Source organism: Homo sapiens, chromosome Y, assembly GCF_000001405.40.
Source record: "Homo sapiens chromosome Y, GRCh38.p14 Primary Assembly".
Taxonomy (NCBI): Eukaryota; Metazoa; Chordata; class Mammalia; order Primates; family Hominidae; genus Homo; species Homo sapiens.
In genome coordinates this window covers 7028922-7046492 of record NC_000024.10, presented here as the reverse complement: position 1 = coordinate 7046492, position 17571 = coordinate 7028922, and the positions used below count along the sequence as shown (strand labels likewise).

The following is a 17571-nucleotide window of genomic DNA, read 5'->3' as shown; positions in this document are numbered from 1 at the left end:
AAAGTTATGCTAAATAATAGAATTGGCTGCACAAAGAATTACGTGTGCAGCTCCTGGCACTTGCGGCCTATGGAGAAATACATCAAATGAAGAGTATACAGATTCAGTGGTAGGAGATTGATGAACGGACTGCTTAGAAAATGAATTGACTATTTAGCTCATTCTTTGATCTACTTGATTTTAGGAGGTTTGGCTTATGGGGACCTTATGTAAAGAACATACTCCAACGTCTTGGTATTATACTCCCAATAGTCATAATAATAGTCTCCCTGATGTGCTGTGTTCTCTCAAAGGCTTTAAATGCTTTCCTGTAGCCATCTCTAGAATGTCAAATGGTCTCTCTTCAACTGGAATGACAAGAACTGAAAGAAAGGTGCCACCATGAGGACAGTATAACCTATGAATAATGTGCTGAGACTGGAAATCCAAAATTATGGTAAATAAGAGTGGTGATAGAGCCCCAGGTTTTGGTCACACTTTTACCTAAGTGAGAACCTGATCAAAAAAGGGAATTTTTAAAACAAAATTCTGGGAGATCATTGTTTTGGACTAAGCTTGTGCAATAGGCCCCAACAGACAAAACCGAACCAAAATGCAGTCATTTGTGCTAAGACTTTAAGGAAACACATAGATCCCAGAACACACCACAAGCCAGTTTTTGCTTTCCTCCTGCAAATCTCTATAACAAACATTCCTGACAGCATAAGTATCCACCCCCTGAAGTTCCCATTATATCTTTTAACCAAATGCATTTCCTCTCTCCTGGAGACCATCAAGCTTCAGATGATCATGCAACAACAGTTCCCTCCACTTCCAGGTGAAGACAGCACCCCTGGCCATTAAGGAGCTATCCTGCCTCCACTAGACACAGCAGGGTGAGAGTTCCATGATCCCCAATAGCTCAGAACTACGGCACAAGCCAGCATGAAGCAGTTACAGAAAAAAGACCATTGGTCCCTCTGCCTCACATAAATATTTATAAGGATCACATTTCTTAGGGGGGAATGAGGCAGGGAAATAGGATCTGGAGGCAGGGAACATAAGGTCGATTCGCACTTCAACTATGACAGGAAATATCCTCTCAATAGAGCATATGCCGAGTAAGTGACTTTGTAACTTTACTTCACCCTCTCCATTTACATAGGGTGTACACCAAGGAACCAATGTATCCTCTAGAGAGTATTTAAACTCCCAAAAATTCTGTAATGGGATCCTTGGGCCCGAATGCTTGGGCTTGGGCTCCCCGACTGTGGAGTGTACTTCCATTTTCAATAAATCCCTTTGTTCCATCCTTGATTATTTGTGTGTTTTGTCCAATTCTTTGTTCAAGACACCAAGAACCTGGACACCTTCCACTGGTAACACTAGGATAAGGACACTGGTTGGTGCTGCGCAGGGTAACTTGAAGATCCCAGGAATCCAATATGAAGAAGGGAAAGAGATGGACGGGTTGCCAGGGAAGAAAGAGCATGAGAGAGCACAGACACCAGAGTTTTTACAGCTATGGCTTTGTGCAAAATGGCAGGCAAAAATGTAAGAAACAAATGAGCTAGGTACAGGGGCTCATATCTGTAGTCCCAGCACTTTGGGGGACAGAGGTTGGCGGATCAGCTGAACCCAGCAATTTCAGACCAGTGTGGGCAACATGGCAAAATGCCTTCACCACAAAAAATACAAAAATTAGCTGGGTGTGCTGGCATGCACCTGTAGTCCCAGCTAATTGAGAGGCTGAAGCAGGAGGATCATGTGACCCCAGGAGGCGGAGGCTGTGGTGAGTTATGATTGTGCCACTGCACTCCAGTTTGGGTGACTGAGTGAGACCCTGTCCACCCCACACCCGCCCCCCACAAAAAAAGGAAAGAAGAAAAGAGAACAGGATATATTACTTTGTGATTTTTCTAAAAGAGGTTTTTAAATCATGAAAAGAAAGCAACATAACATGCTGCAAAGGAGAAAGGTTTTTAAGGGTGAGACCGGTTCCCAGAAAGACAGGATAGAGGGAATCCTGGAAAAATCCAACTGCCAGGTAGAAAACAGAGAAGTTAGGCAGAATCATGCATCTGGGTCAGCGTAGGAGAAAAATGGAGCTGGGGACTGAGGAATCAATAACACGGACTGCAGGCATAGTGGCGCATGCCTGTGGCCCCAGCACTATGGAGGCTGAGGTGGGAGGATCATTTGAGCTTTGGAGGTTGAGACTGCAGTGAACTGTGATAGTGCCTCTGCAGTCAAGCCTGGTTGCAGAGGAAGACCCTGCCTCAAAAAACATTAATTTAATTTAAAAATAAAACAGACACAGGTGAAGGTGGCAAGAAAGAGAGTGGATTCCAGAAGTTCCCAGAAGTTGAGAAGATCTTCACTATAGATTCCTGAGACTACAGCAGAATGGGGCAAGACAGGGAAAGGGGTGTTGTTTAAAACCAAAATTTGTATAAAACTGGCACAATAGCTTATTGTGGTACAATCTAAAAAGCGGGATGGGATACCAGCCAAGTGCAAAATTTTAATGTGGGTTTATGATTCCATCCTCCCACCCCATCAGCTCTACAGCGATCCTTGAGGTTCTCTTTAACACAAGAGCTATCACCTCTCTGCCCTGATGTAGCCTCTGGTGATGCCCTCTGTCAGGTTCCCAGGAAACACAGCTTCAACCTACTCCAAGAAATGAAGAAGACAGAGCAAATCATAGTATGTGCAAGGCAAAAGTCCACTCTGAAGCCCAGAGCAGTTGAGGGTTTGCTGCATCATTTTCAGATGTGGCAATGTAATTGTTTCCATCATTCAGCAGCCAGTGATTCCACGTTTAAATAAAATACACAGACCCATGTGGGAGGGGCACTGGAAACTCGTTACTATGTATACACACAACACATCAATAAGGTGTTAACACAAAGTGGGGTGGAAACGAGTGTTCTTCCGTTATTTATTTATTTATTTATTTATTTATTTATTTATTTATTTATTTTAGATATATGGTCTCACAGTGTTGCCCAGGCTGGAGTGCCCTCGGGTGATCACAGCTCACTGCAGCCTTGACCTTGTGGGCTTAGGCAGTATCATTCTCTCGGCTCAGATTCCTGAGTAGCTGGGACAACAGGTATGTACCAGCACACCCAGCTAATCTTTAAATTTTTCTGTAGAAATGGTGTTTCGCCAGGTTGTCCAGTTGGTCTCAGACTCCTGGCTCAAGTGATCCTTCTGCCTCAGCCTCTCAAAGTCCTGGGATTACAGGTATGAGCCACTGCACCCTGCCGCCGAATTAATCCCAAATGCCTGAGGGAAATGCATTTTAGCTTCTAATGTGTTCCAACCTCTTGCACCTTCCCAGGGCTCTGCTGTTTGGGGGCCAGGCCCAGCAGCTACATACCTTGTTGATGCTTATCTCAGCCTCTACATACTGCAGTCCCTTCTGGAGAATGGAGATGAGGGCAGACGGTGGCACTAGTGTCCCATTGATGTTGGACTGGCTGATGTGGCTCTCGATCCCAAACGTGAAAGCCGAGTGAGAAAAACCTGCGGCAAGAGAGGAAAGCTGACGTTGAGTGAGACCCAAATTGAAGGAGGGACGCGCAGCCATTGAGATCTGAAAGTGGCCTGCAGATTTCAAACACATTTAATTTGTGGGCTAAGACAGCACTGTAGGATGCCCAGGGGCCCTTCTGATTTGGGCTCAGTAAGGTGGAAAAGGGCAAGGGGAGAGGGAGAGGTTTCAGATTCAGGAAGACCAAAATTGGTATCTTAGAACAAGGGCCTTTAATGGTAGAACCACTTCAGTATTGTTAAGAATAAAGCAGAGACCAGGGCAGGCATGGCGGTTCACATCTGTAATCCTAGCATTTTAGCACATCGAGGCAGGTGGATCACCTGAGGTGAGGAGTTGGAGACCAGCCTGGCCAATATGGTGAAATCCTGTCTCTACTAAAAATACAAAAATTAGCTGGACGTGGTGGTGCACACCTGTAGTCCCAGCTACTCAGGAGGCCGAGGCAGCAGAATTGCTTGAACCTGGGAAACGGAGGTTGCAGTGAGCCAAAATTGTACCACTGCACTCCAGCCTGGGTGACAGAGTGAGATTTCATCTCAAAAAAAAAAAAAAAAGGAATAAAGCAGAGAACAGACAATAAAGAGTTTGCTCTGCGTGCCCCAGTTGGACATTCCTGTTAAAGAAATTTGACTCCAGGATCCCCCGACTCCATGGTTCACATGACTTTGCAGAAGGTCATGCTGAAGCTTCTCTGTGTCACCCCCTGCAAGCACACAGGGCACCTTTCTTCAGCCCAAGATGAGGGAACAGCAAACACTGAACCCAAGTGCACTGGGGGCAATTGCATTACAACCCAAAGTCCAAAGACAGAAACAAGCCCGTTGTGCACTGATTGGTGTGGCACTGAATCATTTTCTCAGAATACTGGGAATTTTATCTTTTCTAATAGATACTGGCTCTTTTCCTTTTCTCCCCCAGTGCATCATCTCTTTCACTGCCACTGTAGGAAGCTGCTGATCAATGACGCTTGGCAATTTAAAGGTGTTTTCAGATCAGCTTTGAATAAAGGCTCTTGATGAAGCTGTTGGGGGGCGGGGGGTCAGTACTGAATATACAGAAAGCCATGCCTTGCTCTTGTGGATGATACCTGCTTCAAAGAAAGAAGCCAAGGCCACTGAGCATCTGTGGAAGTCTAGGGGCGATGGGGAAGCTGTGACAGCCCTTCATCAAAGAGAGGGAGGTGGCATCCTACTGCCGGCAAGTCTAGGGTGCTGCAGGGAGTTTCCTAATACAGGCAACCCTAGCTGGCAGGGCTGGGTCACTTTGCCTGGTGCAGAGGTGGTCTGGGGGTGCACTGAAATTCCTCACTGTGTTTTTGAAGGACATAAGCCAAGTTTCTTTACAAGAACCTAACCTTCTTACTTGTTTCTCTCTGTATATTCACCTTCCTTTTCATCTACCCATTCCTACCAAATGAAGCAACCCACCCTTGTATTCACCAATGACTCTACTCCCCGCCATGCTATACCATGTTTCACCTGCAAGCTTTTATCATTGAGGTCTTTGGCAAAGTGTGGAATAGAAAAACCCCCAGTCAATGGATGAAGCAGGACCTCACTGCATTCTTGGCTCAAGACTCCATTGCATGAAATCTTCCTTATCTACTCTGGGCCACAGTGATTCCTCTCTCATAGACATCATGACTCTCATGGCTGATGGGGGGCCACTCAAGTGGCTCCTACTCAATGGGTTTAAGCCTCTCTGCACCATTCTATCACTGCCCCTTTCCCCTTGATAAATCAGGTGTCTGAGATCTTTTGAAGATAACTGACAGCCTCCCATTGCTCAGTTTGTAGGGGTGGGCCTGAGATCCAAGCCAGGGTAGCCAGTAAACACTCTTAGCCATCATGAAACAGCATCAAGAAACATCTACTGAATTCAGAAGAATACAGCATTAGGTGCTGATTACGGCTCCTGAAAAACAAACCTCATGGCTGACAAATCAACTGTGGAAGAAAAGTCTCATGCTTCTCGCATATTTTATTCATCCAGTCTCACTCATGCATTCTTGCAACCACACTGGGCCACAGAACTGACACCTGCAGTCACATGCCCTGTGAAACAGAGCCGATTCTGACCACATTACCATCTTCAACCAAACCTGAGTACTCTGTAAACTATCTCAGTCTTTGCAGTAGCTGTTGGGTGTTGGTACTGTTTTTCTTTCACATAGAACGACAAACACTGGAAACATCAGGTCAAGGTTCATGTGATAAGAAGATGAAACAAAATGTGAACCATAGGCTATGTGACTCCGAGATTACACTTTTTACCTTTCACTTCAAGACCCACAGGCAGAGGAACAAAAATTCTTGAATTCCCTGCATGGACACAGACTCCATTGCCATCTGGCTGTCCAGCTAGAGTACTGGCAGCTCTGAACAGCAGTCAGCCTGGGTGCAACTCAGGCAACTAGTAAAGAATGGTGTGCAATGCTCACTCTAACCCAAGGCAGAGTGTGCCCCTGATTTCTGTCTCATCTGGATTTTTAATGTTGAGTACATGGTTTGGCTGCATACCTTTAATTCTCTACATAACTATGCTCTCCAATGCAAGTTTCATTTCTAGACTGTGTGGACAACGGTATTCACATTCAACTAAAGCTTATTGGAACAAGGAGATGAACCAGCAAAGACGGACCAAGGGTGGGTAGTCTGAGACTTCTGCAAAGAGAGCTGAAAGTTGTCTGCTGGAAGGAATTTCTTGTGCAGATACACAATGACAAATGCGCAGCATAAAGTTATACAGGAGTACTGTTACCTTGAACATCTTTCATCAGCTTGGGTCCTCTTTTGGAAAGGGCAGGTTGTCATGACTGGAAATAGGCACTTTCATAAACACCTAGGGGACGTACTGTTATCAGAAGTCCTCTTATCTGCTGAAATCTTTACTAGTTGTATTTCTTGGAATGCATCTCTATATGGGCTCTAAATCAGTGGTTTTTTCAGTCCATTTGCTTTTAAGACTTTCTTATTGATTTTTGGCCTTGTGATCTTGTGAAGGTAAGCAGGCGAGTGGAATGGAGAAAATGTCAGAAGCAGGCAGGATGGCTGGGTTCTGTCCTTGCTCTACCACTGGGTGCCTGGTCCACATTGCCTCATTTGGCTGCATCTGCATTTTCTCCTCTGCAATGTGGAGATAAAAAGTACCTCGAGGTGCTGATGAGGCACACACAAGGGACAGGAGCCATTCCCCAGACAGGGTCAATCAAGAGAGAAGACCGTAGCAAGTAGAAATGTCACTTTCCCAGGTTTCCTTGTTGGTACAATGAGGATGTCAAATGAAATGGCCACTAGGATATTTTCTAGTTCTGATATTCATTTAGGGACAGCATAATGCCTGCCATGTTCTGGATGTTTGTTTTCCTTTCAGATTTGTATGTGCTAGACAAATCTCTAGAGTGATGGTATTAAGAGGTGGGGACTTCAGGCAGTGATTAAGGCATGAGGGCTTCACTCTCATGAATGGGATCAGTGCCCATATAAAAGAGGTTCAGGCAAGCTCCCCTGCACATTCCACCATGTGAAGACACAGAAGGAGCCATCCCTGAGGAACAGGACCTCATCAGAAAGCAAATCTCTGGCACCTTGATCATGGATGCCTCCAGAACTGTGGGCAGTACATTTCTGTTGCATATGAATTACCCAGTCTAAGGTGTTGGTTACAGCCCAAACAAACTGAGACAATGCCCAAGGACTAGGTAATAGAGGAGGCCTGACCACTTCCTCTTAGGCCTGATTCATCAGCATCTTAGGCTATGGTTGCTGAGGCCAAGTGCCAGGGTGCTGTGGAAGGCACTTGGAAGACACAGCACCTCCACAGAAGATGCTTCTCTTCCAGGGCCAGCCCTGCCTGCACTCCTGCCAGCATCTCACCCCTCCAACTTAGGGTCCAGAATTAATGAACACATTAATTTGCAGTCTGCCAGAGTGGTGAGACTTTGGTGCCTTGTGCCTCCTCAGCTTTTCTGCAACTCTGAACACATCTCTTCTGCCCAACAACACACACACAGGAACACAGATGAGAACAACACACACACAGGAACAAAGATGAGAATGTTAGTGACAAACAAAGCACCCACGACTGCTCCAGCGGCAGGTGCAGAAGTAGTTAAGGGGCAGGAGAATAATCAAAGTGCAAGAGAATAAAGAGCTTGGTGGTACCTCAATGAAAGATAGTGTGAGGGTGATGGGTTGGGTTCCTTAAGTGTCACATCTGGGCTAGGCTGGAGATATTTCTGAAGCCAGCAGCCTTGCCACCCACTTGGAAGGCATATTCCTGATGAATCTCTCTTCAGCAAGGTTTCTCAATCACAGCATGGCTGACTTTTAGGCAGGATCATTCTTTGCTGTGTGCACACAGTCCCATACATTGTAGCATGTTGAGCAGCACCCCTGGCCTCTACCCACCACAAGCCAGTAGCATCCACTCCCATTGTGACAATCGAAAATGTTTCCATCAACCCCACCACGGTGGGGAGGTGACACCTAAAAGGCCACTACTCCCAGCTCTACTCTCCTCACATTTCAGCTTGGTTCTAGGTTGTTGCTACTGAAAAGTAAGCCACTCTTTCCATGCGATTGTGCACAAACCTTAGAGTAAAAGAGGACAATCAGACGAGGTAAGATTATTCCTAAGGAGAAAAGAAGAGTATAATCAAAATAAACTGAGAAAGCCTTAAAATAAGAACCACAGAAAGGATGGAAGGATCCTTCACATAAAGCCCTGTCCATTTGGAGTGAAAGGTGCAATAGTCTCACAAGAGAAGAAATGGTCTTTACAAAATTTATCTCATCTAACGAGGCAATAAAAACAGATTTAAAACAAGCCAAGTACATACTTTGTTTCTTGCAATGATGACACTGCTAAACCATACCACTCAGAAATGGCATCACAAACCATTTCAGTTGTACAGTGAACCACTATACCCAGTTAATGTTGGCTTGATTCATCAGCAAAATCTGCTAAATTACTAGTCACTACTTTTTAGAAATACTGCTTATTTGGCAGAGAAAAGCAGACACCTAATTCTCAGGCAGCTGTCGTGCTGGTTTTGCATCTTCAGCTGAAACAAATACTAAGGGCACCAATTTGTGGCATTAAATCTGGAATTTTCATTAAATATTTAACAGGCATATATAATTGGAGTCTTGATAGCTCATGAAAGCCAGTGAGCACTGTATGCTATTCCTAAATTGTCTACATCATGCGTTTGCAAACTGAGGCCCACAGGCCAAGTTTGGCCCAGTGATTGTGTATCTAAATAAAATTTTATTGAGCTACAGCCACACCCATGAGTTGATGGTTTTCTATGGCTGTTTTCACACTACACAGGGGGAACTAAGTAGGTGCAACAGAAACCACTAAGGTGAAGAAAAGTGTGCCGACCTGCTTTTATATACAGTTGACTCTCCATATCCAATCATTCCACATACACCAACGTAACTCACCATACATAAAAACAAAAAATAGAAAAAAATGAGAAACAATACAATAACAATACAAATAAAAAACCAATACAGTATAACAAATGCAGCATTTACATTGTATTAGGTATTATAAGTTATGTAAAGCTAATTTAAACTTCACAGGAGGATGTACCTTTGATATAAGTTTCAGGTGAAGATAAACATAGTTATCTGTTAACTACTATGCCATTTTATATCAGGGACTTGAGTATCTATGGATTTTGTTATTAAAGGGGGTCTGGGAACCCATCCCCCATGGATGCCCAGGGATTACTGTACACAAATAGTAGCAGTAAACAAATGTCATGCCCTCCTAGACGCCCTGCCTCCATCCTCTCCATATCTCTCCTATCTGCCTTTCTTTTCTCTTTGCTTCCACTCTGGTCCTGGGCCCTCTGTCTACAAGCCCTTTGTTCATCTCTTCTCTTCTGATATGCCTGACAATAATCGCAATAACAATGATAGCTGGTGTCTAATGAGTGCATTCTCGGCATCAGGCAATAGCTTGTGAACTTCACATGTGCTGCCTGATGCAACACAAACCCATTGCAGTAACTTTCCTGATCACCATGAGCTGCCTACTGCTCTCCTTTTCCAAAGCAGCTGAGGGTCGGCAGGCCTGGGTGAGCTTCCTCACCTCAGAATGGCCTTCCAAACCTCATGTACCCCATTCTAAAGCCATGCCAACTCTCACCGTGCTCCAAGCATAAGCCTGCATTCCCATTTGACTTCCAGGTCTGGACCAGTAATTCTCAAGTGAGGCTGGTTTTGTCCCCAAAGGGAAGACATTTGGCAACATCTGGATGAGTGGGTGTCTATGTGCTACAGGCATCCGGTAGGTAGAGGCCAAGAATATGGTTAAACATCCTGCCATCCACAAGGCTGTCTATGTGAAAAAATGATCCAACCCCAGATTTCAAAGTGCAAGGGTAAGAAACTCTGCTTTGGAATTCCCTTGTCACCCCCTGCCCACCTTGCTAGTGATTACAGCTGCAGCCAGCATGCCCTCCTTCACAGCAGCCTTCCTCATGCTCTCGATAGATGTGATGGCTCTCTTCTCTCGGCTCCCCTAGTGCTCCTCACCATCCTTGTGTATTATCATGGTATCATGTGCTACATCCCATGTTTCCCATGCAGCTCCTGGCTTCTGAGAAGGCTAATGCCCCTTGAAGGCAGGGAACCCATCTTAACTGACTTTATATCACACAGTGACCCTCCTCACTACAGCAGCTGGTGCTCAAGATGAATGTGCTGAAAATACTCATGATGAATTGCTCAGACAAATTGGTGAGCCAATGTCAATGAAGGGTGATAAGAAACTGAATAAAACTGAGTCCTCAGTATTTTCAGAATAAATGACTCCCACATAACCATCCTTTGAATGCACACACTCCCATCCCTACTCTGGACTCCCGGCAGCCACTGATCTGGTGTCCACCTGTATATTTTCAGCACCTTAAGCATGTCCTATAGATGGAATCATATAGTCTGCAATCTTCTGACATAGCTTGTTCTTTTTTTCCTTTTTTCTTAGTATTATACTCTAAGGTCTGGGGTATGTGTACAGAAAGTGCAGTTTTGTTACATAGGTATACACATGCCATGGTGGTTTGCTGCACCCATCAACCTGTCATATACATTAGGTATTTCTCTTAATGCTATCACTCCCCTATCCCCCCACCCCAACAGGCCCTGGTGTGGGATGTTCCCCTCCCTGTGTCCATGTGTTCTAATTGTTCAACTACCATTTAGGAGTGAGAACATATGGTGTTTTGTTTTCTGTTCTTGTGTGAGTTTGCTGAGAATGATGGTTTCCAGCGTCATCCATGTCCCCACAAAGGACATGAACCCTTTTTTCTGGCTGCATAGTATTCCATGGTGTATATGTTCCTAATTTTCTTTATGCAGTCTATCATTGATGGGCATCTGGGTTGGTTCCAAGTCTTTGCTAATGTAAACAGTGCCGCAATAAACATGCGTGTGCATGTGTCTTTATAGCACAATGATTTATAATCCTTTGGGTATAAACCCAGTAATGGGATGGCTGGGTCAAATGGTATTTCTGGTTCTAGATCCTTGAGGAATCACCACACTATCTTCCACAATGGTTGAACTAATTTACACTCCCACCAACAGTGTAAAAGCATTCCTATTTCTCCACATCTTCTCCAGCATCTGTTGTTTCCTTTTTAATGATCACTATTCTAACTGGTGTGAGATGGTATCTCATTGTGGTTTTGATTTGCATTTCTTTAATGACTAGTGATGATGAGCTTTTTTTCATATGTTTGTTGGCTACATAAATGTCTTGTTTTGAGAAATGTCTGTTTACATCCTTCACCCACTTTTTGATTTTTTTTTCTTGTAAATTTGTTTAAGTTCTTTGTAGATTCTGGATGTTAGCCCTTTGTCAGATGGATAGATGACAAAAATTTTTCCCATTCTATAGGTTGCCTGATCACCCTGATGATAGGTTCTTTTACTATGCAGAAGCTCTTTAAGTTAATTAGATCCTATTTGTCTATCTTGGCTTTTGTTGACATTGCTTTTCATGTTTTAGTCATGAAGTCTTTGCCCATGCCTATAACCTGAATGGTATTGCCCAAGTTTTCTTCTAGGGTTTTTATCATTTTAGGTCTTACGTTTAAGTCTTTAATCCATCTTATATTAATTTTTGTATAATGTGTAAGGAAGGGATCAGTTTCAGCTTTCTGCCTATGGCTAGCCAGTTTTTCCAACACCGTTTATTAAATAGAGAATATTTTTCCCATTGCTTGTTTTTGTCAGGTGTGTCGAAGATCATATGGTTGTACATGTGTGGTGTTATTTCTGAGGCCTCTGTTCTATATATCTGTTTTGATACCAGTACCATTCTGTTTTGGTTACTGTAGCCTTGTAGTATATTTTGAAGTCAGGTAGCGCAATGCCTTCAGTTCTGTTCTTTTTGCTTAGGTTTGTCTTGGCTATATGGGCTCTTTTTTGGTTCTGTATGAGATTTAAAGTAGTTTTTTCCAATTCTGTGAAGAAAGTCAATGGTAGCTTGATGGGGATCACACTGAATTTATAAATTACTTTGGGCATTATAGCCATTTTCATGATATTGATTATTCCTATCCCTGAGCATGGAATGTTTTTCCAGTTGTTTGTGTCCTCTCATTTCCTTGAGCAGTGGTTTGTAGTTCTCCTTGATGAGGTCCTTCACATTCCTTCTAAGTTGGATTCCTAGGTATTTTATTCTCTTTGTAGCCACTGTGAATGGGAGTTCACTCATGATTTGGCTGTTTGTTTGTCTGTTATTGATGTATAGGAATGCTTGTACTTTTTGCACATTGATTTTGTATCCTGAGACTTTGCTGAAGTTGCTTATCAGCCTAAGGAGGTTTTGGGCTGAGACAATGGGGTTTTTTAAATATACAATCATGTCATCTGCAAACAGGGACAATTTGACTTCCTCTCTTCCTAATTGAATACGCTTTATTTCTTTCTCTTGCCTGACTGCCCTGGCCAGAACTTCCAATACTATGTTGAAAAGGAGTGGTGAGAGAGGGCATCCTTCTCTCTTGCAGGTTTTCAAAGGGAATGCTTCCAGTTTTTGCCCATTCAGTATGATATTGGCTGAGGGTTTGTTATAAATAGCTCCTATTATTTTGAGATGTTTCATCAATACCTAGTTTGTTGAGAGTTTTTAGCATGAAGGGTTGTTGAATTTTTGTCAAAGGCCTTTTCTGCATCTATTGAGATAATCATGTGGTTTTTGTCATGGGTTCCGTTTATGTGATGAATTACGTTTACTGATTTGTGTATGTTGAACCAGCCTTGCATCCCAGGGATAAAGCCAACTTGATCGTGGTGGATAAGCTTTTTGATGTACTGCTGGATTTTTTGCCAGTATTTTGTTGAGGATTTTTGCATCAATGTTCATCAGGGATACTGGCCTGAAATTTTCTTGTTTTGTTGTGTCTCTGCCAAGTTTTGGTATCAGGATGATGCTGGTCTCATAAAATGAGTTAGGAAGGATTCTCTCTTTTTCTATTGATTGGAATTGTTTCAGAAAGAATGGTACTAGCTCCTCTTTGTACCTCTGGTAGAATTTGCCTGTGGATCTGTCTCGTCCTGGAGAATTTTTGGTTGGTAGGCTATTAATTATTGCCTCAATTTCAGAGCCTGTTACGATCTATTCAGGGATTCAACCTCTTCTTGGTTTAGTCTTGGGAGGGTGTATATGTCCAGGAATGTATCCATTTCTTCTAAATTTTCCAGCTGATTTGTGTGGAGGTGTTTATAGTATTCTCTGATGGTAGTTTGTATTTCTGTGGGATTGGTAGTGATATCCTCTTTATCATTTTTTTATTGTGTCTATTTGATTCTTGTCTCTTTTCTTCTTTATTAGTCTGGTTAGCTGTCTACCTATTTTGTTGATCTTTTCAAAAAACCACCTCCTGGATTCATTGATTTTTTGAACGGTTTTTTATGTCTCTCTTTCTATCAGTTCTGCTCTGATCTTAGATATTTCTTGTCTTCTGCTAGCTTTTGAATTTGTTTGCTCTTGCTTCTCTAGTTATTTACATTGTGATGTTAGCGTGTCAATTTTAGATCTTCCTTGCTTTCTCTTATGGGCATGTAGTGCTATAAATTTCCCTCTACACACTGCTTTAAATGTGTCCCAGAGATTCTGGTATGTTATGAGACAGCTTTTTCTACTTAGCACATTACTCTGGAGGTTTCTTTAGCTTATCGCACATATTCACAGCTCCTTCCTTTTCACAGCTGAGCAGTGCTCCGTGGCACAGAGACAACACAGCTTGCCTCACCCATATCCACTGAGGGATAATAGCCTTTTTTCCAGAATATTGCTATTATGACTAAAGCTACATTTTCTGCTTAATTTTTTTCATAACCAAATTTTGTCAGATACCAGTGTAGCTAACAAATGACACTGTCTGTGCTAGGGACTTGCCCCAAACACTGAACACAACTATGAAAAAGCCCTTATCATGTAATAATTACTGGGAATTCACACTAATTATAATTCACTCTAAGTTATAATGTAATTCCTGTGGTTCTCTCTTCTGAGACTAATTTTCTAAACTTAACGCATCTACACATGGACCATCTCACTGTGACCTGTCGCCCAAAACTGTGGTAAAAATACACATTTATTTTGTGGAGACAGGGTCTCACTGTTGCCCAGGCTGCAGTATACTGTCATGATCCCCATTCACTGCAGCCTTGAACACCCGGGCTCAAGCAATCCTCCCACCTCAGCCTCCCAAAGTGCTGGATTACAGATGTGAGCCTCCATGCCTAGCTAATTTTTGAAATTTTTTTCGTGGAGATAGGGTGTTGCTATGTTGCCCAAGCTTACTTGAAATCCTGGCCTCCAGTGATCCTCCCACCTTGGACTCCATCTTAACCATTTTTAAGTGCACAGTTTAGAGGCATTAGGTGCATTCATACTGTTGTGCAACCTTCGCCACCAAATGTGTCGAGAATTTTATTCATTTTGCAAAACTGAAACTGTACCCTTAAATACAAACTCCACACCCTCCGTTTCTCCCCATGCTCCAGCAACTACCCTTCCACTGTCTGTGTCTTTGGACTAGACTCCTCAAGGTATCCCTTACAAGTAGAATCCTATGGTATCTGCCATTTGTGACTGGCTAATTTCACTTGGTATAATTTCTTTGAGAGTCATCCATGCTGTAGCCTGTGTCAGAATTTCCTTCCTTTTCAAAGCTCAGTCATGATATTCCACTGTATGGATGCATACATGCTTTTGATGGAATTTCCTCTGTCAATGGATATCTGTGTTGTTTCTGCTGAGGTTTTTTAAAGCACACTGTACTACTCCCCTAAAGTGTGAGGTCAGTCTTGGAAGGAGGGAGCATGTCTTTCCATTCAGCTCACCTTGACACCACCGCCCTCACAACAGCAGCTTACAGATGTGACAGGAGGAGACTGACACAGAACAGACCTTGGTCTCCACTTGGGCAGAAACTCCAGAACCATGAAACGCCAGGCCAACAGGAGGTGACAAGAACCACTCACTCAACTGACAGCCCTCTGTTCAGAAGCCTAGGATACGAGGAGCACTGGAACACACGAACACCTCAGGGAAGTGCTTCCCCTCCACCTTACCTCACTCTAACCAAGACCTGCACCAGTTGTGAAGTTGCTGGGTCATCTGCTACATACTCCTTATGGAGAGCCCAACCTCACTGTGTGTTGAGTGCTCAGTGTAGCCTTTTATCTTTGTGCTTGGGCTTGCTGTGGAAAGAGGAGGCCACTGAGATCTCATTCACTCTTCTTTGTACTCACTCCTCTTACAGTAACTCATCTGAATGACATCATCACCAGAGAGAAGTACTGCAGGTGAAGTATGTCACATAGCCAGGAAATCAATGTATCTATCTAATCTAATCAATCTATCCTATCTAATTTATCTATTAATATCTACTCTTCTGATATATTATTATCTGTCTCTTATCTATGTATCATCATCTTTCAAATATATTAATATCTACTCTATCTAATCCATCTATTTAACCTATTAATATCTACTATCTATTTATTAATAACTACTGTGTCTAATCTATCAATCTATTGGCCTATGTATCTATATCTATCATCTGTCTAATCTATCAATATCTACTCTAAACTATCTACCTAATGTATCTATTAATATTTATGTATCTATCTACCTATCTATTCTATCTATTCTATCTAATCTGTCTAATCTATCTAGCCTGTCTCTATCTATCTATCTATCTATCTGAAAGATAAGTAGATTTAGAAGTTAAATATATAGGTGGGGAAAATGCTTCACTGGATTTTTGATGACTTGTACAGCATGGGTATGTGGGCAAATGCACAGAGATCTTTCCTGGCTGCCATATGGTCCAGCCGGTAGGAACCCTGTTTTCTGAAAGCCAGAATAGACAGGCCTCTGTCCTGTGCAGATTCTGGAGTCTACCCACCAGAGGGCTAACCAGACTGTAGAGTTTTCTGTTTATATGCAGAAAGTTACACCAACTGCACTGCTGAAGGAGGGGAAGGTGTGCAAACCAGGATGCTCTGTCACTCAGCAGACCTGGGCGACATTCACGTCTGCCCATGGAAACTGTGACCCTGACAGATTCATGAAATTAGCCCAGAAGGCTAACTGCAAACCCTCAGAAAAAGAATCAAACTTCATGAGTGTTCTGCAGATATATACACCAGAGCTAATGTCTTTTTACATACTTTCCAATACGCCTTGAGCAACAGGCAGACAAGCTCTGCAACAGAACTCATCTCTGTAAAACCATTCATATTTGTCATGTGTCTTGCCTCCGCCTTAGTTGGAAAAGAATGCACTGGTTTCTGAAACCTACAGTTAACCACATGAACCAGCAATCCCACTCCTAGATATTTACCCAAGAGAAGTGAAAACCTATGTTCACACAAAAGATCTGTATGAAAATGTTTTTTGCAGCTTTATGTTGGAATCCCTAAAACCTAGAAAGCACCCAAATGTCCTTCCACAGGAGGATGGATAAACAAATCACTGAAAAGGCCTTCAATATGAAATGTCACTTAGCTATTAAAGAAAGAATGGCTGGTGCACACAATAGCATGCATGAATCTCAAATACATGAGGTTGAATAAAAGACGTCACACTCTCAGGGCCACACAATGCATGATGCCATCTCTATGCCATTCTTACGAGTGCAAAACTCTATGAACAGAACACAGAGTAGGCTGCAAGGTGCAGGGAAGGAATAGAAGAGGGCTCAGAACAAAGGGACACTAGGCAATTTTGAAATGACAGAACTGTCATGTGTGTTGACTACACTCAAGACAGCTCCTCACATTCCGTTCTTCCTTCCTCTTTAGACAGTATTTTCCCCTTCTTTAAAAAATCATTTTGGTTGGGTGTTGTGGTGCATATCTATGATCCCAGCACATTGAGAGGCCAAGGTAGAAGGATCCTTTGAACACAGGAATTCAAATCCAGCTTGGGGAACATAGTGAGACACTGTCTCTACAAAAAATATAAAAATTAGCCAGGTGAGGTGGCACATGCCTATGGTTCCAGCTACTTGGGAGGATGAGATAGGAGGATCACTTGGTCCCATGAGGTAGAGGCTGCAGTAAGTCACGGTCGCAGCACTGTACTCCAGCCTGGGTGACAGAGGAAGCCCATCTGACAAAACAAACAAACAAAAAATCTTTTCACACATACCTCCCTTCCCCTGAATCTATCACTTGATTATGTTGCAGGCAGTTCTTTCCCAGCTAAATTCAGTTTGAATCTGTGGTTCTGTCCCATGTTCCTCATAATGCCTTGCAAGTCTGTGTGAATTATCTTATGTATGCTAAAAATCTGGGTATGGAAGAACATGTCTTCTTTATAGTTTGGACTTTGGGTGATGAAGTCCCAGAGGAAATACTTATTATGTTTACAGGAACTCATCTGACAAATTTTCTCTCTTTCCATACTAAGTGGAAAATGGACTTCCACTTCCCTGGCTGTGTTCAGAAATATGTGGGGGCAAACAACTCACAACTCCCCCAGCA

At 42.9% G+C, this 17571-nt stretch overlaps 1 protein-coding gene across 3 annotated transcripts in view; it reads right to left on the bottom strand.

Moving 5' to 3' along the window:
* The window catches only part of TBL1Y (transducin beta like 1 Y-linked), a 180987-nt gene that overhangs the window by 45191 nt on the left and 118225 nt on the right, over positions 1–17571 (bottom strand). For all 3 annotated transcript variants that reach the window (NM_033284.2, NM_134259.2, NM_134258.2), the window contains one exon: positions 3368–3513. In NM_033284.2, coding sequence (NP_150600.1) covers positions 3368–3513 — 146 coding nt within the window. The remainder of the gene's footprint in view (positions 1–3367; positions 3514–17571) is intronic.